At 37.1% G+C, this 26,773-nt stretch overlaps 1 non-coding gene and 1 pseudogene across 1 annotated transcript; both read left to right on the top strand.

Moving 5' to 3' along the window:
- Positions 9,775–10,721, top strand: PRDX1P1 (peroxiredoxin 1 pseudogene 1; annotated as a pseudogene).
- SNORD137 (small nucleolar RNA, C/D box 137) lies at positions 10,648–10,726 on the top strand. The gene has a single exon (NR_132976.1). It is a non-coding gene; the product is annotated as a small nucleolar RNA, C/D box 137 (small nucleolar RNA).

Raw genomic sequence — 26,773 nt, 5'->3', positions numbered from 1 at the left:
TGCTGCAATAAACATACGTGTGCATGTGTCTTTATAGCAGCATGATTTATAGTCCTTTGGGTATATATCACTGGCCATCAGAGAATTGCAAATCAAAACCACAATGAGATACTGTCTCACACCAGTTAGAATGGCAATCATTAAAAAGTCAGGAAACAACAGGTGCTGGAGAAGATGTGGAGAAATAGGAACACTTTTACACTGTTGGTGGGACTGTAAACTAGTTCAACCTTTGTGGAAGTCAGTGTGGCGATTCCTCAGGGATCTAGAACTAGAAATACCATTTGACCCGGCAGACATCCTTAAACACTTAAGTGCAAGGTTACTGTGTACACAGCCATATGCAATGGCATTACCACAGTACTTTTAAGCTGAAGGAGATTAGTTTGGTCCAAACAGTCCTGAAGAATTATAGTTTCTTGACTCGGCCTCCCCTGTATGATAAAGTTAGCTGTAGGAGATCGACTTCTCTTTGTTCTTATGTTGTTTTGTGGGTCTAGATATTGGGGACTTGTGGGCATCAACTTTAAAGACAGGATTAACAGAAAGTAAAAGATAACACACATATTTCCATGTAAAAGACAATGCCATACTCTGACATACTTGAGCATACTTCCTGTTGAAGTTCAAAAGTGTCATCTCTAACCTGTGCATTTTGGGTTTGTCAGGCACATTCAAGTAAGCAGTAGCTATGAGGCAGGTAACAACTACAACCCAAGAACCCAACAAATGTATTTGCATCCAACTGATAGGTTAGCTGGAGGCATGCTGATTTAGGATGGCCTGAGATGCATGACCTGACTCTGCTCCACGTGATCTCTCATCCTCCAGCAGCTTAGCCAATGTTTGTTCTCATGGCAAAAGCAAGGGTATGAGTTCTCCCTGTATCCAAGCTATTTGTAGTCTAACTTTGCAGCTCTTCCCATTCAAAGATGAAGTCTGTTTCTCTACCTCTTAAATCTAGGCTGGACTTATGACTTCCTTAGGCCCTTAGGCCAAAGCATATGATGGAAGTGATGGCATGCCCATTCTGAATTGAGGCCCCAAAGACCTTTCAAGTTTGCACCCACTCTCTTGGACCCTTGCTTTTGCCATGAGAACAAGCTTTGGCTAAGCTGCTGGAGGATGTGAGATCATGTGGAGCAGAGTCAGGTCATGCATCTCAGGCCATCCTAGATCAGCATGCCTCTGGCTAACCTATCAGTTGAATGCAGATGCATGAACAAGCCCAGCTGAGATTAGCTGAGCCAAGACTAGGTTAGGAGAAGTGCACAGGTGGCCCATAGACTCACGAAAAATAGTACACAATTGGTGTTTTAAGCAACTGTGTTTTGAGATGATTTGTAACTCAGATATAGCTATATGATGCAGATGTCTAAATAGATTGTGCCTCCTTTTAAAAATAAGAGAGTTTGTAATAATACATGTCAGGCAAAGCGTGACATCTACAAGGCACTTTGTATGTAGTATTTTTTTTTTTTTTAAATCTCACACGGGATGTTCTTTCTAATATACTGCAATGCATCTCTATGGTAAATACTTGAATTCTTAAGATCTTATCTGGACATTTCCCATAAGTGTACCTTTTTTTTAAAGAAAGGATTCTATCCAGTCACATTTACTATATTTATCAAGAAACTTAAAAAAAAATTTAAGCTGAAGATCAAGAAAAATGCTCATTAAATGTTTGATCCATTGGCTACATATACTACAGACTTTTTCACCTTTAACAGTAATATTTCCAACAGTACACATGGAATGGTTTCTCATTTCCTACACACATGCATATAATAAGCAAGAAAAGCAAAATCCCTAAAGAGAAAATGAGCTCTGGAAACCTTTCTTACATACTTTATTAATCGTCAGAGAATCTCTGCAATTTCCCTTATTAACAAATTTTAGTTACTGTAAACACATATAATAGCTCACATCATGAATGAGGCAGAAAATGATTTACTATAGGTTTGTCTGATAGATATGTAACATATGAATCAAAGAACACCTCAAAGTTGTAGCAATATGGAATGAATAGAAACACAGCACTGAATAGAAATGAAATAGTAAGTTACATTCTCCAAACTCTGGATAAATAGTAAAAATAGTTTTAGAAGATGATGCAAATTATCTAATTATTTACAGCAAAGGGAAGAAAATCACAGGTGTCCATTATTCTTGCGCAGCTGTCCCCTCAGCTTGTCCCCAAATATTTCCTTGTCTAGTATGAACTAGAGGAGACCAAAAACCTTTGTCCATGTTTATGGAGGGTGGAGGGAGAGGAAAGTGGAGAGACAGGAGGAGAAACCAGGGAAACCAGGTGCAACACTTTTCTTAATAATAGGCTGGGAAGAAAAATCTTGCCTTGACATGAGGGCCATAATGATGAATTGGAGAGTTTAACGAGAAAAGTATTCATTCTTTCTCCAGCCAAACGTTAAGGCCACAGGCTCCACTCTGTGTTGGATGTCAAATCAAGGTGTTGGCAGGTAAAGCTGTCTAAAAAGTCAGGTCTTTTACACTTTGTTAGTATTCTCAGCAGACTAAGGTTGAGCTCTTGCCAATGTGGAAGGCTTCCAGATTCAAGAGATAAATGTCCCAAATAGTCGAGTTGTCTCAGGTCTGAAGGCTGCTGAGCACACAGTGCAGTGATGATCCACCAGAGTTCATTGCAGGCTGGGTGACAGCAGTCTATGTGGGTGCAGGGAATTCACCAGGTTATACATGCATATGTATACATGTATATGTATATATGTATGCATATATGTGCATACATATATGTAAATGCCTCAAGACTGTACCTTTAGTTTCTTTGCTGTTTTTGTTAAACTTCTTGAATGAATTCCCTTCTTTCTAGCCAGGAAAAAAAGTCATAAACATTTGAATCTACTTTGTAACCACATCTGTGGAATTATTGAATCCGGACTGTGTATGTGTTTTTTGGATTTAAATTTTGCTTTTGACTCCAGACTGCTCAAATGAATGGGGATTCTGTCTGGGGTTACCAAATTCCACTTAATGCCAATGCTTTTGTAGCTCATTTAAGCAGACTCAGTTATTTGAGTTATCTTACAGCAGGAACTAGACAAACAGGTTAAGGTCCAGACAGGTTAAATATCTTACTCTGGAAATCCAAGTCCAAATTGGGGATTAGCCCTCAACTTAATAGTTATTACACCCATTACTCAGGGTTTTGAATCACATTGCTTCCACAGAACTTCGTTCCAAGGAAGGAAGACTGGGGATGTATTTGTCAAGTGGTAAATCAACTACTTCTATTTAAAATTCTCAAAGACCTCTGGAGCAAAGCATCCATCTAAATCTAAAGATCAGAGAGTGGGAAAGACACTGAGAAATGAGAAATGCTCATAGACTTGGGCTCTTTGTTCTAGCACTTACTTATAGTGCTGCCTTAAAAAATTCTAAACATCTTGAGCATTATCTGTTTTACCTGTAAAGCATTTATAATAATACCTACCTTTGGAGGTTATTGTAAAGACTAAATAACATATACATATACAATCCCAGCAAAGTGACTGATATTTATTAAATAAATAGTCAATAAAGTTATATTTTTAAAGTTCCTACTTCTACATGATTTTGATTTCCGCCCTTCACCTCTAAATAAATCAATGAACTACTGCCATAATTTTACCACCTTTATATTGGAATTTTAATTTTTTTTTTTTAGAGTTTCAAGGATTATTTTATCTATGAAAATGCTGGCCAAGTGCGGTGGCTCACGCTTGTAATCCCAACACTTTGGGAGGCCAAGGCAGATGGATCATCTGAGGTCAGGAGTTCCAGACCAGCCTGGCCCACATGGCGAAACCCCATCTCTACTAAAAATACAAAATTAGCTGGGCATGGTGGCAGGTGCCTGTAATCCCAGCTACTCGGGAGGCTGAGGCAGGAGAATTGCTTGAACCCGGGAGGTGGAAGTTGCACTGAGCCCAGATGGCGCCATTGGACTCCAGCCTGGGCGACAGAGCGAGACTCTGTCTCAAAAAGAAAAAAAAAAGAAACAAAATGCTATATATTATTTACAACACAGGCTAGGTTACTAGAATAAAACGTTGGCTTAAACAAGAGAGTTTTATTTATTTTATTTCTCTCTCCTATAACAGTCCAGAGCAGCAGATTTGGTAGCTTGATGGAATTGGCGGGGTCCTATCATCTTGTGGTTGTGTTATCCTAAAGAGTTATCTTTAGCCAATGGTTGAGGATAAGATGACTTATCACACCAGTATAAAATGGGAAAGAGGACTGCATTGGTATGTTCATTTATTTTAAGGACTACTTATGTATAATTTACAGCCTACCCCCACCCCCGCCCTGCCACACACACACTCACATCCTGTTTTCAAGACCCTACTCACATGCCTCACATCAAAATGGAAAGCAGTCTAGGAACTGGGCATTGTGGTGTTTAGCTAGGAGGTCATGTGTTCAGCTAAAGAATCTACTACTATAGAGGAAGGGGGAAATAGCATGTAGTGTATATGAACAGTATAGATTGGAGGGTGGGTAATTAGTCATCTCTGCCACAATTTGTTTGGGAGAATTGCTTATAGATGGAGTAAATTTTAACCCTGGAAAGGACTTTAAAGTCATAAAGTCTCATCCATCTATGTTCCTAAATTCCTTTACAAGAACATGGGAACTTAACTGAAATGCAATAATCCATTACCAAACATAGTTGTCCCAGCTGTGCTTTTGAGGACTTTTGATATGCAGAAAAATGTATTATAGTTACATGTTCAACATTAAGTTTTTCTTTATTCTTTTATTCAGCAAACATTTATTGATCTCCTAGATGAAGATACTGTAGTAAACAACAGGTAGAAATCTCTGCCCTCATAAAACATGCAGTTCTGTGTGGGGTGATACACAAGAAAACAATTAACAAAATACATGGTGTACATTGTGTAGAATGTGATAAATAACTTGGGAAAAATAAAACAGAGAAAAGGATATTGCAATTATGACTAGAGTGGTCAGGAAAAGCCTCATTGAGAAAGTAACACCTGAGAAAAAGACTGAAGTGGTCAGGTGAGGAAGCTGTGTGCCTGTCTGCTTGGAAGGTAGAGAGAAGAGGGAGATGAGGTCAGGGTAGTCACAAAAGGTAGAACGTATGGGGCCTTCTACACCATAGTAAAATTTGGGGGTTTGAGCTGAGTACAGTTTTGATCTGACGTATGTTTTAGAATGATCTCTGCCTTGCTTTGTTGAACATAGACTGCAGGGAAGCACTGGTAAAATCAGGAACACCAGTAAGGAGGCTGTTGCAATAATCCAGGTGAGAGGCAGGGGAATAGACTTGAACTTGATGAGCAATGTCTGATTGTTGAATATATTTTAAAAATTGAGCATTCAGCGGGCGCGGTGGCTCACACGTGTAATCCTAGCACTTTGGGAGGCCGAGGCGGGTGGATCACGAGGTCAGGGGATCGAGACCATCCCGGCTAACACTGTGAAACCCCGTCTCTACTAAAAATACAAAAAACTAGCCGGGCGTGGTGGCGGGCGCGTGTAGTCCCAGCTACTCAGGAGGCTGAGGCAGGAGAATGTCATGAACCCGGGAGGCGGAGCTTGCAGTGAGCGAGATCACGCCACTGCACTCCAGCCTGGGCGACAGAGCGAGACTCTGTCTAAAAAAAAAAAAAAAAAAAAAAAATTGAGCATTCAGTTTTTGTTGATGAATATCTTCAAGTGATCATCAATAAGGGAGGGGGTGTGTAGGCTGTACGGCATCTGCTCCCCAACAGAAATGAATAGACTGTCAGACTGACGGACTATAAATAGACTATCAATTAATTATTTCCTTGCTTTTCATACATGGATGTAATGTCACACCCTCAACCCACTGGTTTTTCTAGAGTCTAATTTATTAACCATATTCATTGCAAGCTTTGATGCTGCTTTTGAAAATGTCAACTCTTACTTTTGGAATCAGATTGTCCAGGCATGGAATCCAGAAATAAAAATTGTAAACAACTTGTGTGAAGATTCCTATTGCTGTGGTTTGTATGTTTACATCCCCTCAAAATGTATATGCTGTAATACTCACCCCCAAGATGATGGTATTATAAGGTAGGGCCACTAGGAGGTGATTAGGCCATAGGGGCAGAGCTCTCATGAATGGGCTTAGTACCTTTATGAAAAAGGCCAGAAAGAGACCTCTCTCCTATTTTGCTATGTGAGGACACAGAAAGAAGGCACTAGCTATGAGTCAGAAAGTGGCCCTCAGTGGACACATTCATAAATAATGCTTTACCAGCTATCTGGGCATCCCTCAGTGCAGGCAAGTTAGCACATAAAATTAACCATCACACTTAAATGTACTTTAAAGTTTGATTACCACTGCCTTAGAGCTCAGGGGAAAAATACCTAATTCTTCTTGCATGCATAGCTTCTCAAATGTTTCAATACAGCTCTGCAGATATTTTCCTCCTTATCCTACACCAGCTGAATCTTTACACTCCCTGGACAAATATCCACAGTCCCTCCTACCTTCCTACCTTAAATGAAATGTTTCCACATGCATTTTCCCAAGAAATGTATACACTTTAATATCATATTAAGTAGCATGGGAGTAAATAGTTTTAGCCCTTGTCATCCTCCTACTAATAAGTTTATTCATAAGTTATGTTCATTTTTCCCTTATTTTTCTCATTTTTATGAATAGCTTATATTTTATTTATAAAAATGTAATTAACCCAAGCAGAAAGTTAATATTTTATATTGCAAGTTTTATATAGTTTATAATATTTTTAAAAATTAGTATTATATGTTTTTTATTGAATATGTTCCCATTAAAATGTAGTATGAGTAACATACTAGACTCATTTATAAGGGAGTTGGGGAAAATGTTGCCCTAATTTCTCTCATCTTAAAACTCATTTTTCTCTAAGGGTTCATTCACATGCCTTCTCTAAGTTGATAGTTTTACAAATCCAAGTAATTTCAAAAGATTTTGTGCTTTTGGATTGGTAAAATATTAGGGGTTATAGCTATGTGGGAATTTTTAAATAGGCATCTATTACATTTTTCCTATACTTTGAAATAATATTGGGTTTCAAAGGTTTACTTTAAGTGAACCAATAATCAACATATCTGCAAATGTTATTAAGCCCCTTAAATTCTACTTTACCTTTTTCAGGTGCAGATTATTTTTCAGTAAAATGTATATGGCTCATAATAACCATTTGGTGACATAATGGAACACAATTTCATTATGTGGAAAAATGGGACATTACGTATGCTTTTATTTTGCTTTAAAGGTGGAGGTTGGCATATTATATTTAAATTAAAATTGTTACAGGATAACTTGAATTCTACTCGAATGTAACATTAAGCTGTTATTCTGTTTATTTCTCTTTCTTTAAATCTGCACTAGCCATAAATTTAACTTAACAAAATCATCACATTTTCCACAGAGCAGTCTAGCCCGTCTCTTCCATACCTCAGTTTTTCTTTTCTGCACAGTTCTTCCCCCTAGGTATTTGCTTTTAAATGTTTATGTAGTATCTTGATTGAATTTTTAATATACACTATCGTCTTGTCTGTTTATTTGTTCCTTAAGCTTTGTCCTGTGTTCTATTCAAATGCTAACTCATTTAAAGTGGATCAAAAACATGCATACTTGGCCTAGGCTGGTATTTTCATAATTCCATTCCTCTTAGTTAAGGAGCAGAATCACTGACTTATAAAAAGTTAAAAGCTAGAAGAAAGGATCTGGAGTTGTGGTACCTTATTTTACAACCCAGCTTTGCTGTGTTTCTTGTGAAAGTCCCTGAAATTCTCTGTCTTCGATTTAAAAAAAAAAAAAAGGCTATATAAAAGGATATAGCTATTTCATATAATTGTTGTATGATTCATAAGATAATGTACCTGAAAAGGCCTGGCTTGGTCCTCAATATTACTAGAAAAAATACTATAAACTTTTTTCCTTTTATTGTCTTCAAATATAATTAACCAGTGATGTGTGTGTGTGTGTGTGTGTGTGTGTGTGTGTGTGTATCTCCCTCTTGCCTATCTCTTTCTGGCTCTCTCACTCTTTATATATTTATACACACATATATATATACACACACAGAATATATATCTCTATCGTACACAAATAAACATATACATGTACATATGTATGTGTGTGTAATATATATATCGTATATATGAAACAGCTAATTCTTTGGGCTGGTTTTAGACATAGGTATTTGGCTTTTTGTTCTAATGTTAAATTTCTTCAAGAGTAAACTTCAATTCTGAAAAATGGCAACTTTATGGTCCACTCTGACTGAGAAATGCTTGCTATTGGCAATGAAAGCTGTGTGAAATCTGACAGCCTCACCCCAAGATAAATTTGGGCAGACTTTTTTATTTGACTTAGCCCTCATGAGTGCACACCCATTGAAATGGGTTCCAAAATAGGCAGTGCTTTTTATCACATTTTGCAAACACAGCTTAATTCAGCATAAACTGCCTTGCCTTGCATAGTTTTCGTCCAGATTCATATATAAGATCAATGTTGCTTTAAATTTAGCCCTTGGTTTTCCTGTAAGTTCATGACCTTGTAGAACAAAAATTAAATTCATAAAATTGGCTTTGGCTTCAACTTGGAAGCCAAGCCCGTATTTATGAAAGTTCCCCATTTTCCTAGAAATATTCTATTGTGCTTACTCTCTGGAAGTTTTCAGAAGGCAATATAATTTGGCTAATAAAAACTGAGAAATTATTACTATAGAGAAAAAATGATCACTGTCTTTTAATAATACATTGTGATATAACCTAGCTTTAATTGTGGGACTTTTCATTTCTGATTTTTAAGAACCTGTCCAATAGAGAACACAGAGCAGCAACATCTAACAACAGAAATCAACCCGTGAGGGTCTGAAAACTGGGGGCGCTGTGGCTGTGTTCATGTATTTCCATTGAGGGGGTATGATTGTCATGCTAATGTATACGAAATAATGTATATTAATTAAACTGTATTTCCCCACATTAATAAAATTTGCTGTTACAAATTTAACACTGTAAATACATCAGCTTATAAAATGATATGAAATATAACACCATTATGTAGAGGCAAGAATAGACAATTGTAATTTATGTTACTGAAATGTTTTAATAAAATAGACACACCTTGAAGAATGCCAGTTAGATATTAATTGGTATGCAATTAAGCACTTTCTGGGGGGACAGACTCTCAAAAAGAATAAATAACCTGTATCATGGAACAATAATTGGAGTTCTCTCTACTCCATTGCTTCAGCCTAATGCTGGCAAGAGAGACTCTTTGGCCCACTGCTGGCACTCAGGGCTGAAGAGGTGGTTGAGGCTTCTGGAAAAGGAAGATTATTAGAATGATTGTGCAAGTCTCTTATGGCTTTTGAATACCTCACCCATGTTTGACTCATCAATGCATTTTGGTCACACCAATGATAAATTTAGTGGTTTAGTCATGATAAAAAGACAGGTGCAACGTTATCTTTTGGAAGAAAGAACAATGAGACCCATATAATTTCAATCTTGGATGAAAATCACCAGTTGCTAAAATAAACAAAATGTTTTCAGACCTGGTTCTCATCTCCTTTTATATGCAATTCCCTTAAAAATTGTGCTTTATATTTCTATTATCTACTGTCTCTATGAGCTGACACTGATATAAAATAGTTTTTGATTCTGTTGGTGTCTACAGAACAGTTCCAATTAATTTGAAATAGGAAGTCATATAGCATAAAATATTATTGCTTTCATGTTTCATTAAGAATAACTATCACAGCGTCCTCTTCCTGCCTGGTGTTGGTGGTTTGTTCTCAGAGGCTTGTGTCAGGACTGCTGATAGGAAGATGTCTTCAGGAAACGCTAAAATTGGGCACCCTGCCCCCAACTTCAAAGCCACAGCCATTATGCCAGACAGTCAGTTTAAAGATATCAGCCTGTCTGACTACAAAGGAAATATGTTGTATTCTTCTTTTACCGGCTTGACTTCACTTTTGTGTGCCCCACAGAGAACATTGCTTTCAGTGATACAGAAGAATTTAAGAAATTCAACTGCCAAGTGATTGGTGCTTCTGTGGATTCTCACTTCTGTCAGCTGGCATGGATCCACACCCCTAAGAAACAAGGAGGACTGGGACCCAGGAACATTCCTTTGGCCTCAGACCCGAAGTGCACCATTGCTCAGGATTATGGGATCTTAAAGGCTGAAGAAGGCATCTCATTCAGGGGCCTCTTTATCGTTGATGATATGGGTATTCTTCGGCAGATCACTGTAAATGACCTCCCTGTTGACTGCTCTGTGGATGAGACTTTGAGACTAGTTCAGGCCTTCCAGTTCACTGACAAACATAGGGAAGTGTGCCCAGCTGGCTGGAAACCTGGCAGTGATACTATCAAGACTGATGTCCAAAAGAGCAAAGAATATTTATCCAAGCAGGAGTGAGTGCTGGGCTGTTTTAGTGCCAGGCTGCAGTGGGAACCCCTGAGAACAAAGTCTCTTTTGTGGTTTTTTTTTTCCATGAGTAAAATACAAGACTTCAGATTCAGCCGAACTGTGGTGTGTTACAAGGCAGGCCTTTCCTACAGGGGGTGGAGAGACCAGCCTTTCTTCTTTTGGAAGGGATGGCCTGAGTCGTATTGTGGGGAGGCCACTGATTTGTATGATGTGTCAGTAGAGGGCATCAACCCATTGATCTTTTGTAGTTTGTATTAAACTTGAACTGAGAAAAAAATAAAAGAATATCATAATGTATTTTCTTATATTATTTTATCAGATATTTAAATTACAAATGTAATACATGCTGTTGTCAAAAGCAAAACAAAATAAGTATACTCGAAAAATGGTAAATGGACTGTACTCTTACTCCCTCCAATCAGATTTCTCCAGTATACTCAATGCTTGTAACTTGTTTTAAACTCTTCTGTCTTTATTCCAACAAATAAATACATAACTTTAAAAACATGTAGAGATTTTTTATTTTCTTTTTACAAAAATATGGTTATGCAGTATGCTTTATGTTGGAACTTGCTTTTCTAAAACCAAAGTATCATGTATATACCTCAGTCTTTCTGTAAACAAATGTTTTATAATTTATTCAGCCTGCTTCTATTAGTGGACATGTATGTTTTATCTCTTTTTTTCTATTATTTTCCTTTTCTTTTCCTACTATAATGATGTGTGCATAAACATTCTTTTACAAATATCCTAACATAAAACTCTATATTATTAGACTAGAGTTCCCTAGATGGGATTTCTGGGTCAAAGGATGAGCACATTTTAAATTGTAGTATATTCTTACATGTTCCTTTCATATAATATATTGCATTTTAATTTTTGTTTTATTTTACATAACTGCTTCCTCACTAGGTTGAATTGCCAGAGGGTAAGCACTCTTCTATTTATCTATGTAGTTAGCAACAAACATTTTTTATTTTTTTAAATTCTGAAAATAAAAGGTTTGATTAGTCAGCCATATTAACATGACCGTATTGTTCCTTTTCTACTCCCTTGTACTCCATCTTAATTGAAAACACCTTCCTTAGGACTGAAGCTGTCATTTGTTCTTACCTTTTCTTAACATCCACAACCCCTATAGTGTGTCACAGATCAATGATTTGTTCAATGCTGCCCTATAATCTTAGCTGATTATTTGTGCACTTTTTTGCTGTTGTGAATCCATATTGACCACATTTTCTAAATGATCATTCTGTTCACTGTGTATTGGGGATACAGTTAAAGGTACGAGGCGGTAGCTTTCAACTCGGCCACACATTGGAATCAAATGCTTGGGCTCCACCTATGTCTGATTGAATCAATCTGGGAGGACAGGATGGGAGCCCAGGCAATTGTGTTCTTAAGAATTTCACTAGGTAATTCTGATCCTAAGTAAGGATTAAGACCCATTGGTAGGCCAGGTGCTGTGGCTCACACCTGTAATCCCAGCACTTTGGGAGGCCAAAGTGGGCGGTTCACCTGAGTTCGAGACCAGCCTGGCCAACATGGTGAAACCCCTACTAAAATTCAAAAATTAAAAATACTAAAAATACAAAAATTAACTGGGCATGGTGGCACACACCTGTAATCCCAGCTACTTGGGATGCTGAGGCAGGAGAATCGCTTGAACCTGGGAGGCAGAGGTTGCGGTGAGCTGAGATTGTGACACTATACTCTAGCCTGGACAACAGAGCAAGACTCTGTCAAACGAGAAAAACAAAACAAAACAAAACAAGAACAACCCACTGGTAAAAGAATGAGAGTGGTCTTCTCTTTCTTAAAGTTGCATTTTTCCAGCCTGGTAAATATGGGACTTCCATTCAGACATGGAGTCACAGCCCATGCCATTGTAAATAGTACAAACACAGTTGGCCATATTGAGAGTTGAGATTAGATGGAAACTGGGGGCAAAATGCAAAAAGCAAGAGATTTGATATATGTGTAAACAGATGGAATTGAAGCAAGGTGGGGATATTTTTTGTATCAAGTTGAATAGTGTTCCACCAAAATTCATATCCACCCACAACCTGTGTATGTGACCATATTTGGAAATAGGGTCTTTGCAGATGTAATTAAGTTGAAGTCATACTAGACTGGGGTCAGTCCTAAATCCAGTGACTTGTGTCCTTATAAAGAGAGACACCAAGATACACACACACAGAGAAGAAAGCCATGTGAAGACAAAAGCAGCAATTGGAGTGATGCAGCACTTAGCCAAGGAGGCCCAAGAATGGCTGGAAACTACCAGAAGGTAGAAGAGGCAAGGAAGGATTCTTCCCTAGAGACTTCAGAGAAAGCATGGAGCTGCTGATACCTTGATTTCCAACTTCTAGACTTCAAAATTGTGAGACAACAAATGCCTGGAGTTTTAAGTTATCAAGTTTGTGGTAATCTGTTACAGCATCTCTAGGAAACTACTACAGTTTCCTAATTTTTGTGTGGGTTGCCAAGCAGCAACTTATTGTAGTCTCCCCATACCTTGAGATCATCCTTAAAGGAGAAAATGAAAAGTAGTCATATATCGAAGATTTTTAAAATTTGGAAAGCTCTGTTGTGCTATCTTGCTAAATTATTTTTTAAGTTCTAATAGATTTTTGTTAATTTGTTTGGTTTTCTAGCTATGTAATCACATGCAAATGTTTACATATAATTATATTTCTTCCTTTCAATAATTCTTGCTTTTTTATAGACCAAAAAATTACATTGTACCCCATAAACACACAAAATTGTGATTTGTCAATCAAAAATTAATAAATTAGAAATACAGAACAATTATAAAAATGCATGATTTTCAATTTTGTTTCATGCCTTGTTAATCAGATTGTCAAAGCAATATTGCCTACAAAAGATATAGGGAACACATCTTATTTCTTATTTTATTAGGAATAACATTAGTACTAAATCATATTTATAATGTTAGTCATTTTCCTCTGAATATACATTTTTTGATGTTGAGAAAATGTCTTTCTATTCCATATTTTAGTAGTATCATTATTAGGAATGCAAATTAAATCTTAAGAATAGATTTTTCCATTTATGTTAGTATAATTATTTTTTCTCATTAAACCTGTAAATTATTTTCCTATTTTACATTAAATAAATTTTTGTATCTTTTATTATTATCTTTTAAATATTTTCTCAGGTCAACCTTTTGTTCTTTTCCTAAATCTTTAAAGTCTTTTGGTCTAAACTGGAGAATTAAGTAATTTCTTTTATCATTTTTCTAATGAAAGCATCTGAGTATATAAATTTGTTTCTGATTATAGTCAACAGTACGTAGGTTTGCTATGTAATATTTCTTTTGATTATTTTCTAAATAATCCTTCTGCATTATTTCCTAGAGATTACTTAGGATAGTGTTAAGTGATTTTAGAAAAATTTTTCTCATTTGTTTGTTCATTTATTATATACATTACTAACCATTTGTATTTGTGATATGAGAATATGTCATGACCAAATTTTTAGTAGGATATATACTGTTAATCTATTTTTATGGTATTTTCTAAAATCAGATGATCCATGGCTATTTTAAAATAAGGGATATTCTCTGTGAGTCAAATAATTTGGGATCACTCCATTATTACATTTTCTGATATTTTATGTATTTTAACCACATGATTTATCATGGGCCAATAGAGTTTAAATTCTGCCATTTCGCTTGTATTTCTATTAATTTCTCCATGCTTAAAAGTTCAATACTGCTGTATCTACACTATTAATTCTGGCTTTTTCAATATAAAACAGCATTTCTGTCGTGGTTTACGGTTTTTTATTTTAATTTTACCTTGATAATAATACGTCCATGCTTAGTTGAACATATTTATTCATTTGTTAATGGAAAGCCTTCCTGTATCATTTTGTTAGTTCTGTTTGCAACAAATATTAAATGCTGCTTTTAAATCAGTCTGACTTATTAAGACAGTATCTAATTTTTTCAATTTTTTATCTTCCAATTTATTTTATTGCCACCATATAAAAATCACTTAATCCTTACTTGCTGGACAAGAAGGAAAATCTGTCTAAAATATGTGCTTTCATGAAACTGTGTAGTAATAAACAATAATCAGCCCAAATTTATGGTTAATTCAGTTGACAGTTCATACACATACGCGCGCGCACACACACACACACACACACACACATTGTGTAAGCCTTTTTAGTTTTCTAAACATCCCAAATTTCCTATTTTCTTAGATGTCTTGGTAGTTCTTTGTTTCCCTTCCTTTTGTTGTTAAATTAAGATCCTATCTATAGAAAAGTTTAAATGTCATATTTAGGTGGTGGCTTTAAAATATGTTTGCAAATGCTTTGCCATGCTTCCATCAGGAGACGGGGTTGTTTATTCTCACTTTGAAAATATGTTGGTTTTTGTGACTCTGACTCCTGAGGCTTAGCATAACAAGGCAATACGGCATCTGCCTGACTGTGTGTCTTCAGACTTTTGCTCTTGGAATCCATCCTTCATGCTGTGAGGAAGTCCAGGCCACGTCGTGGGATCATGTGTAGGAGGTGTCCAGGCATATAGCCCTAGCTGACGTCACAGCCAGCAGACAGCAGCAATCACCAGACTTGTGAGTGAGAAAGTCTCCAAGCTGACTTCATCTTCAATACTATACGACAGCAACTGCATGAGAGACCCTGATGAAAAACTGTATAGCTGAGCCCAGTCCTCATTACAACTGTTAGAGGTAATGATAAAAAATGATTATTGTTATACACCACTAAGTTTTTGCTGACTTATACAGGTAGAGATAACTAGAATAGTATGGTATTTAAATTTTTATTTTTTGTTTTTATTTATTTATTTTTTTGAGATAAATTCTCACTCTGTCACCAGGCTGGAGTGCAGTAGCACGATCTCGGCTCACTGCAACCTCCGCCTCCCAGGTTCAAGTGATTCTCCTGCCTCAGCCTCCCGAGTATCTGGGACAACATGCGCACGCCACCACACCCGGCTAATTTTTGTATTTTTAGTAGAGACGGGGTTTCACCATGTTGGCCAGGATGGTCTTGATCTCCTGACCTCGTGATCCACCTGCCTTGGCCTCCCAAAGTTCTGGGATTACAGGCATGAGCTACCGTGCCTGGCCAGAATTTTTATTAAATTCAATCAGCACTTACTGAATTCCACTTAGCAAATATTCAAAATTTCACTGTGCTAGTTTCCTGAAGATTGGAATAATTTATGTACAGAAAATAATTTTCCAATTTTCTGCCATATTTGACTATTTTAATACATAAATCTGCTTAATTTATGTACTAAAATAGTCAAATATGGCAGAAAATTGGGAAGGGCAGAAGAGACAGAGACTAACTGCCTTGCATCTGAATACATTTGACTTTTGCCTCAGGCACCTTACAAGCTTGAAGGGATCTAAACAGACGTCCAGGCATCCCTGAAGAAAGGAATCATAGGAAATTCTGTCATAGTATTTCCATTCTCTCCGGTAGTTTACAAGTGCCACACACTGCAGACAGTTAGGTATATAGTTTAATTTCCTGTTCAGCCAAAATAGCTGCTTGGGGCATGTGGTAACATCCCAAGTCTACATCAATTCCTACCAGATGTAAAATGGAGAATCAAATTCAATAAATCACTTCACATTTTGTTGTAATTTCTTCTATGTAAATACTTTTAAATTTGGGGAAATATCTAGGTCATTTTATATTGGCTTATGACAAAGATCTGAAAACAAACCAAGTACTAACAAATCTAAAGGAGAAATCTTGAAGTACATGTGCACAGTATACATTATGGAAAAAAATATACCTTCTTACTATAATGAGAGGCATTTTAGAAATCTATTGTAATTCAAATTCTGATCATCAAGGTAAAATACATCTCAGATAAAGACTTTTAAAAGTTGAGATCTCATATGTAGAAGAGCTAAAAACAGAACTACCATTCCACCCAGTAATCCCATTACTGGCTGTATACTCAAAGGAATATAAATTGTTCTACCATAAAGGCACATGCAAGTGTATATTCATTGCAGCGCTATTCAAATTGCAGCACTTTATCCAATCTGCCATTGATGGGCATTTAGGAATCAACCTAATTAACCTAATTTAGGTTAATCCTGTTTAGGAATCAACTTAAACGCCCATCAGTGGCAGATTGGATAAAGAAAATGTGGTACATACACAATATTGAATACTGTGCAGCCATAAAAATGAATGAGATTATGTCCTTTGCAGGAATATGAATGGAGCTGGAGGCCATTATCCTTAGTGAACTAACACAGGAACATAAAACCAAATACTGCATGTTCTCGCTTATAAGTGGAAGCTAAATTATGAGAACACACGGACACATAGAGGGGAATAACAAACACTGGGGTCTACCTGAGGGTGGAGGGTGGGAGCAGGGAGAGATCAGAAAAATTGGGTACTGGGCTTAATATCTGGGTGATGAAATAATCTGTACAACAACACCCCCTGACACGAGTTTCTCTATATAACAAACTGCACATGTGATCCTGAACTTAAATTTTTTTAATGTAAAGTTTCAGAATCTTTCATGTTATTAAATATTTAATAGTAATGAATTTGATTTTGTGTTCATCATTGGATTGCAGAGTGATCCTGAACAAATCATTAGCTTTCAGATACATTTTAAGAGCAACAACAACAAATTATGTAATTGACTGGCCATTCAGAGATAGAAGACTATTCTACCGGAAGATAAAATGTCTGGTACTAGGAAGAAATGAAGAAGAGGTCACATTTTAGAGGTTTTTGCTCCTTCAGTTTTAGTCATTCTAATTCCACCTTACTATTAAACCTTTATAATATTTGTCAACTCTTGGCTTTTAATATCCTGATCTCAGATCATCTGGACTGAGCAGAGCTGACGTGTCATTGGCAGGTAATCCCAGAGGACACCTCCCTTGTGATACATTTGGTAGTTTGATGCTTAACTTCACTGCATAACCTACTTATTATCAGGTAAAATTAATCACTTTCTTATTGACATTATATATTCATAATCAGGTAAAATTAATCCACATTGAAATGCAAGACCATAGAAACAAAACCAGTGAACTTAGCTGCTTTGAAGGCAAGTTATTACAAAAGGGAAGGTTGAAAAATTGATCTTTGGGATCCCAAGATAATCACTTTCACTGGCTTTTTCCAGCTGCTTGAAGTTTATAACAATATTATATTTGCTGCTTATAACAAAAACAGGCATACAACAGGAGGTAAAACCAGCAGACTTTATCAAATGCCAGGCACTGTGTTGGCTTAGGCACCACAGATTCAGCTCCTGATTAAGGCCATTGCCCTGGAATCAGTGAGCTCACTGTTTAGTTGAAGAGGCCATCCATCCACGTGGTGTCATGATGGAGGTGGGCCTAGGTGCTATTTCAACAGGCAAACACCCAGACAAGAATAAGCCCCATCAAGGTAAATTCCTGTAAGTGGTGCTACTCAAGTGTATTGGCTCAGTTAACATAAGTCTTAACTTCATTTGACAGTGATCATGACAAAAACAAGATACAGTTTTGCATATGTTGTCAGATTTAATAAACAAAAAGAGGAAAGGAAAGACACTGGGAGGTTTGCTGTTATTTAAGTTTTCCCCCCCAGAAAGAAGTGATGTTTGAGATGACTTAGCCTCTGGATTACTTATCTCCAACAATAATTAATATCTTATAATAGCTGTCATTTATTGGTGCTTACTATGTTCCAGACACTGTTCAGAAAGATTAACTCATTTGATTTTCACAACACGACATGAGGGGGATACCATTAAATCCACTTTTAAAATGGGGAAACTGTGGTACAAAAAGTTTAAATAACTTTCCTGAGGTCACATAGATGAAAGGTGGCAGAGTTAGAATTCCAACCCAGGCCTCTCTTTAGAGGCTCTTTTCTTAACTCCTAGGTCATATATTGTACTGCTTTTCAAGGAAGAGTTCATTTTCTGGCTGTGGTTATGTTCTAACATGTTCCATGTTTCTCTGTCTCTCCTGGGATGTGTGCACTGTATGTTACCATCTTGCTTTGAGACCCATCTTTGTAAACTTAGGAATTCCTTTCTTTTTTGACTTTGCAACTGCTGTAAGTACAGTCTTTAATTAAGGAGTCTTTTTCAGCAATTTCTGTGGGGGGTTTTCTTCCTTTTCATATGCTCTGCTGAGTAATGAATGCTTGTTAAATTTGTTAATAATAATGTATGTGGGGGCTGCAGCTCACTGGCCTACTGACCCTATTAGAGTTCTTTGAGTGTGTTTCAGCTCTTAGATGGAGACATTTCCCAGCAGGGTTTGTTCCCTGCACTATCTGTTGATAGAAGGGCATTGGAAGTTTATTTTGGTAGGAAGAGCAAATATCTGTTGGAGCATGAGCTAAAAATAAAACCCAGCCATTATACAAGATCATGGGTCTTACTCATAACATCAAGGTTTGTTCTGTAGCTAGCCCTCTCCAAAATGAAGGCAGGACCTTCGCAGAGGAGGCCACAAGGAGCCCTTACATGTGCCTACAGACCATTTTGTTAGATGGAGCCACGTCCTCATGTCTTTCCTCCTTTTTATCTTTTGCTCTGATTTCCATCTGTCCTTGTCCTTTACCTATGAAATTATTTGGAAAAACTTTAATCATCTTGAAAATGTCCATGTTCTGATCACAGTGCCACCCCTGGGTGCTCCCTGACTTTCTTCATGATGCCAGAAGGGTGCTGGGTTCTACTCAGAGGCAGAAAGAACATTCTTTTTCCTGTTCGGTGCCACTTCCTTTTCTGTGCCCTCCTTTTCCCCCAAATGCCCAAATATTCTTCATTGAAGAGTGCAAAACTTATTAGTTTCAGCACTTAATAATAGATGTCAAACTGTGACCAGAGGGATGAAAACAAAATAGATGTCAGAGGCTTGCCCATTCTTCCCCTCCTTTTTTTCTAGGCTTTTCCTTTTTGTCATTCCTCAGTTCCAAAACAAAAACATCCAGGAATATGAATGGAGGTAAAAAATGTTGTGGGATTACTGGAAGAGGAAGTATAGACTAACACCACCAGCACCTGGCCAGAAATGTCTGGTTATATCCTCTGAAGTTTCCCCAGTCACAGTAGCTTGAGACAGTTTTTAACCACTTCACTTCCTGCCCAATGTCATATGAACTACATCATGAGATGATGAGGATCCCAAGAGCAGAAAAGAAGAAGGAAAGACAAGGAGATATGGGGCTTTATCTATGGCCTTCTGTAGTAGATGGTGTTGGAGATGACACTTGAAAAGTGCCTTGAATTTAGCTAAAGAAGGAACTAATCAATGAAAATATAGAAAGACACTTTTCTTTCTTTCCTCCCTATTTTTCTTTTTTCTCTCATTCCCCATTCTTCTCATATTTTTATTTATTTCATTACTACTAAAGGAAAAGGTTAATACTCATGCTAGAAATAATACTACAAAGCAAAACTATCTCAAGGCTTAAAGTAAGTTTTGCCCAGTCATACAGAAACCCAATACTGTGTAATGTCTTCACCAGATGTTCAAGTAGCATTAATAATAGCTTATGTAAAGTTACTATAATCCAAATAAAATTAATTAAACAGTTCAGAAAAAAATCTTATTGTGTTATTTCCATTTTTGCCCTACTCTCTGTTGAGAGATCTCAAACCAATGGAAAAGTTAAGAGAATATTACAAAGAACACCCATGTATCATCCTAGACTTGCTAGTTGTTAATTTCACCACAATTGCTTCTCTATGTATTTTATACTATATAAAATTATATGTATATAATTATTTTATTTAATATATGTATATATACATTTTATGTAATAATTATATATATTTATATGTTTTATTATATAAAAATTTATATTTTATAAAATTATATAAATATAATTTATATATAAATTTAAACATATTTATATTTTATAAAATTATATATTATATAATTATATATTATATATTATAAATTATATATTATATAATATATAATTATATAATATATAATTATATAATATAAATTATATAATTATATATTTATATATTTAATAATATATAATTATAAAATATATATTATATAATTATATATTTATATATTTAATAATATATAATTATATAATATATAACTTTATAAAATAGAAACATGTCTAATACATATAGACATATAATTTCTACTGAATCATTTGTACATAATGTGCAGATATCATGATTCTTCACCTCTACATACTTCAGCATATATCTTGTAAGAACAGTGCCATTCTCCTACATGCCATAATCACTCTCACATAATTTCACATCACTATAATATTACCTAGTGTAAAATCCCTATTTTAAATTCCACCAATTGTCCCAATAACTTCCTCCGATCTGGGATCCAATCACGCATTACATTTAATTGCCATTTTTTTTTTCTATTAATCCAGAACAGTCACCTCCTTTTATTGTCTTCAATGTCACTGATGATTTTGAGGGATCCAGGCCAGCTGTTTTGAAGAATGTGCCATATTCAAATTGTGACTAGGTAAGAATTCAAATTGTGAGTAAGAATAATTCATAGGTGATGTGGTGCCCTGTGAAGCCTTTAATTTTAAGTTGGGGACTTTGGTTCAGCTTTTGTGTTTCTGATCTTGAAATTTGAGATGTAATCAAAAGCACCAAACCATTCCTTGAAGAGTTCTTTCTCTGGATATGAACAGAAGAGACTCAGGTATGTATTTTCTACTAAGTTACAATTTAGGTCAACCAAATAGCTAAGCTCTCAAAGTCAGAAGGTGTGTGATGAGGTGAAATTAGCACAGTTTGAAAGAGGTGGCTTATGCTCAACACTGATTCTGTTGCCACTTACGAATTATTCCATCCTGGATAACTTGTATGGATTATTCCATCTTGGATAACTTCTTTTGGTTTCATTCTCTCATCTGTATATAGTGAATGATCCTGAGTCTTCCTAGCTCATAGAGATGTCATAATGGTCCAATGAGATCCATATGTCCATTGTACAGTTGAGGTGTGTCTCTGCCTGTATGTCCATGTGAAGGAAACCATCCCCAGAGAGAACACTGATCCCCTGTTAATTGATCAGGACCATACTTAGTGTCCAGAGGATGGTGCAAACATTTCTTACTGTTTATTTTTTTTTTTGACTGCCTTTCAAAGACTTGCTAACTTCACTGACAGCCTCCCCACTCCCACCACCTATCCTGTAGGCTTTCACTCATTGATGTGTCAGCAAGTTTTATTTCACCAGCAAGCTGTACTACTTTTCAGACTGAAACACTGTAATGCAAACGTTCTGTGGAATTTTAGTGACAAATGTAAAGTAAAAAGGGAATTTGTAAGATAGTCTGTGTAGTCATACTCTGCTTTGAGTCATTAGAAACAGAATAGGGAAAAGTAAACAACCTGGTGGCATCGTTACTTTTCTGGCACTTAGTGTTGAAATACCACTTGTCTTACCATTTAGAAAACAGATTGTAGAAATTGCTGATTATCATGGTGTTCCCAAGTAAAGCAGAGATGGAGTTATAGGAGTTTATGTCAGCACATCCTGGACTAAAAGCAGAAGTAGAAAACATAGAAAATCAGTAAGTACTCTGTTAGAGTACATTGTATAGCTACCAAATGGCTTTAGAAGTTGATATTCCAAGGCAACAGGCAAAAGTCATATTAATTTAAATAAAGTTTAGGTAAATAGATATGAGGGGTTGCATAATTATGTGATTAACTGTTTCAGCATTCTGCCAACAGAAACATTTTCTTCCTAGAGTGAATTCCCCACTGTTCATTCTAACTTTAACGACTCGAGTAATGGTTTTCATACTTCTCAGATAATTGAAGTACAATAAGAAAATCATCACATGTTATTGCTTATTCAAAACTGTCAAATATATTACTCCTAGTAGACTTTTTCTATGCAAATCTCTTTTTTGCAAGCCAACCAGGTACTTGGTTCTTTTTTTCTGCTATTAAGGGAAGAATGCAGTGTATATAACATACACAGAAAGAGGAAATGAAGGAGGGAATCGTATTGGAAGTATCTTTAAAATAGATAAAAATGTGTTGTAAACTGAAACTGAACAATCAATAGACTGAATTAGACAAATCAGAAAAATGTTTTATTTAATTTTCAACTCAAGTTTATGTCATCTTTAACTCAAAAAACTTTCCAATTGCTTACTAAATAAAGCCCATACTCCTTCCTCTGGTATCTATACCCCTTCACACTCTGCTCCAATTGACTTATTTCCCATTTATACCTATTATACTTTAGGCATCTTTCATGTATACTTTTTTGTTGCATTTTTTAGTATAACCCAAACAATTTGCTATCACTCACAAAAAAAGTATGCTCTTCTATATTTATGCCTTATTATTTTTTATACAAAGTTTCCTTACCCTCTTCTCAACTTTTATGGTACTTTCATTTTGTCTGCTACTGGGAGCACAGTGTAGTAGATGCAGTGGTTTGCTAATCAGATCAATTTCCTACCCCCTGCTTCTAAGGAAGTCTCATTTGCTCAGCTGCTGGATATGTTGACTAAACACAGGTGAGTCCTACTCTAGGAATTCTCTGCCCAAGGAACCTCCTGTGCCTAAAGTTGGGTTCCTTGCAGAGGTCAACCCACATCAATGACTTGTTAAAACAGATTTGGTTCCTTTGTTTCAATTGAGAACAATTTAGAATATCCATCCTAGGTCCAGAGCTCCCTGAGGGGACCAATAAGGTCTTTATTGCAACCGTATTGCAGTTCGACTTTTTCTTCTACCCAATCCAGCTTCCCTCACTCCCTTGCAGGTGTTGTTCTGTAGGGAACTCCCAAATAAACTGCATGTATGAAAATCTCTCTTTCAGAGTTGGGTTCCTGGGGAATTTAACACAGACATTTTGTACCAGATGTGATTGGAGGAAGCAGATTCTAAAGTCACCCTTCTGCTGGGTTGCCCACTTGTTGGCTAGAAGTGAGAATGACATCACCCATGCTGTACCAGAGCAACTGTTCCACTTTCATCAGTGCTGAAAAGAGGTGAAATATAAGTGGAATGAACCCAATAGTGGGCAGAATGTCTTATCTTTGAGAAATTTGGGGTAAATATTAATAGTACTTATAAGGACTATGAAAGTTGCTGACTGTTGGTGAAGGTAAATATTGGAAATGTTAATGAATGTCTGAGTGTTATCACCAATTTAGGGTGAAGTGTAAAGCCAGATGACCTCCTAAACAGCACAAATGGTCTTTCATCTTTCTCAACACAGGAAGAAAAAGCTAAATGTCAGGCCCAGGACTTAAGGGAAGTAGAGATGTATAGTGAGTTGAATTCTCAATCCCTGGAAGTCTTCTCTGTCAAGGTCAGGTCCATTATTGTGTGTCAACAAGGTCCTGAAACTTGGGATGGAGGCATTCAGGTACATGCATTGAAAATTTTCATTCTTCTTCTTCTCCTGAACCTTCTGGGGTTACACAACTAGCCCATTCCTCTCTACCAAAGACTAATGCTCCTCCCTTACCTGAAGATGATGCATAGGCCTCTCCCTTGCAAGACAACATTGAACACCCCAGGACTGACTGTCTTCTCCACTCTTGGCCATTAGACCACTTACGTAGGACAAACTCACAAAAAAACTCTTGGTCTGGGACATTATAGGCATGCAGGGGGTAGGAAAGAGACCTCAATGAGACCTAACATGAAGCAACAGTAAAGAATACATATGAGTCTGAATCTTAAGAATACTGGAACAAAGTGAGAGGAGGGAGTTAGGTTAGGCAATTAGACAGGGAGGGACTCAGCAGAAGAGCAACAGTAATAGAAACGCCTGCAGAACAGCAGCAACACCACCTCTGCAGCTAGCGGGAAGATCAACAGTCATAGGAACACCCGTGGGACAGCACCCACACTGCCTCTGCAGCTAAAGGGAAGAAATGTAGTTAAGAACTTCCCCTTATGCCAGGAGGTCTGCTCAGAAGGGACTGTCCCAGCTTAGGTGCAGGCACAATAAATCAACCTAAATACCCTTAACTTAACCCAGCTCATTATAATGTCATTAACATGATATTAGCATTGCAGTTTTAGCCTCCTCCACCATGTGTGTTTCAGTTAGGCACTCATGGGTAATAACCAAGATGGAGTTACCATGACCAACTCCAGGCATGCACAGATACAACACCCCTAGGAGGTGTATCTATTGTATCTCTGCCCTCTCCCATTTAGGCAGAACCCACAGAAGACTTCCTTGTTCTTGCCACATAAAACACCCAGAACTCAGCCCCATTGCTTACAACCCACTTTCAGGGTCCCCTTTCACTGCTTGGAGCTTTCCTTTTGCTTAATAAATTCTGCTCTGCCTTACTCACCCACTGGTGTCTGCGTGCCTTGTTCTTCTTGGTCGTGGGACAAGAGGCTGTACCTCATTGAACAGGGGAAAAGGGGACTGCAACAAAAGGAAACATAAATTCATGTTAGAGAGAGTTTGTTAATATGGGAGTACTTTTCTGCGATATGATATTTAATGCCATGATTAGAATTTTGGTAGATACAACTAACATGCTGTTAGGGTGAACTTGGAATATTCTGAGTTCTTGGAACAAGTGAAATTTTCCACTAAATAAAGTAGAAATGCAAGAAACTCTGTGCCATATTGAGGAGGAGGGAATCAAGAGGCTTAGAGGACCGGACATTTTGAAGTAGATAGAATACATAAAGCTGGAAAACCCACCAACAAGGTATGTTCTGTAGAGGGCCTGGAAAATATGCTATTATAGACCTAAGCTCCATGATACCACTGGGGATGAGAGAACCTGAGACAATAGAGTGCAGATGGAGAGCAAAATGTGTATAATGACTGTAATAAGTGGCAAAGGTTGGAATTTGAACTAGGGGTCCTGACTTACAGAGAATTTGGAAATGCTTAAGAGAGAATAATGTCCCAGGGGCAAGATAAATGGGCAGTCAATAAAATCAGTTTTTTGACAAGCATATTGCTTAATTTGTATTACCAAAATAAATTAGGAAACTGAAGGCAGCTAAAGTCTCAGGCTTGGAAATGCTAGGCCTATACCCCTTGCTGGGTATGTCAACTGAAATCTCAGTTCCCAACAAAAGAGAGGAGAGAGGGAAAAGGAAGGATAAGAGGATAAGGAAAAGTGAGAAGGGTGAAGGAGGAAATGACAGTCAAATGTCTTCACCATGGGCCAGGTGCGATGGCTCACGCCTGTAATCCCAGCACTTTGGGAGGCCGAGGTGGGTGGATTACAAGGTCAGGAGATGGAGACCATCCTGGCTAACTAGGTGAAACCCCCACTCTACTAAAAATACAAAAAATTAGCTGGGCGTGGTGGCACGTGCCTATAGTCCCAGCTACTTGGGAGGCTGAGGCAGGAGAACTGCTTGAACCCAGGAAGTGGAGGTTGCAGTGAGCCGAGATTGCACCACTGCACCCCAGCCTAGGTGACAGTGAGACTCTGTCTCAAAAAAAAAAAAAAAAAACACAAAAATTCTCCACTATGAACATACTCCTCCCTCTCCCCAAACATGCACCGCAATGGAAAGTCTCATTCAGCTTCCTTTTTATTTGTTGTGTGGTCCACTATACTTTGTCTCCTGATCCAGACATTTTATTTTATTGTATTTATTTATTTATTTAGATGGAGTCTCACTCTGTCGCCCAGGCTGGTGTGCAGTGGTGCGATCTCGGCTCACTGCAACCTCCGCCTCCTGGGTTCAAGTCATTCTCCTACCTCAGCTTCCCAAGTAGCTGGAACTACAGACATGCAACACCAGGCCCAGCTAATTCTTTTGCAACACCAGGCCCAGCTAATTTATTTGTATTTTTAGTAGAGATGGGGTTTCATCATACTGGCCAGGCTGGCTAATCCAGATATGTTAAAATGCAGGAAGTAAAAGAGGGACATAAAGAATTGAATAGATCTGGTATTCTTTTCTTTTAGTCTGAGGATAGAGAGGAAATAGTTGTGTATTTTCTTCCCCTATCATTCAATGCAAACAGAGACAGATATAGATATAAAAATAAATTTATTCCAAAAAGTAATTTTGGAGTTTAAGTGTTCCTCAAAATGCATGTTCTCATCTGAGAATTTCATTCTGAAAACAGACTTAATAAAGCTGAAATACTGTGCATTTGTGTTAAGTAAAAAAAAAATTGTTTTTATAATACCCATATGTAGTAGTGTTAAAATATGCCTAAAAATTCTTTGATATTTCTCCTTTCAAAAGACGGAGCTTAGAGGAGGAACTGAGTGAGCACAGATGAGCAGTGTATAGAGACTCACATTGTGAACTTTTGCTCCAAGAACTACTGCAGGAACATACCAGGAAAG

This window comes from Homo sapiens, chromosome 9 (assembly GCF_000001405.40).
Source record: "Homo sapiens chromosome 9, GRCh38.p14 Primary Assembly".
Lineage (NCBI taxonomy): Eukaryota > Metazoa > Chordata > Mammalia > Primates > Hominidae > Homo > Homo sapiens.
Note: the sequence above shows the minus strand (reverse complement) of the source record. Positions and strands in the feature narration are given on the sequence as shown.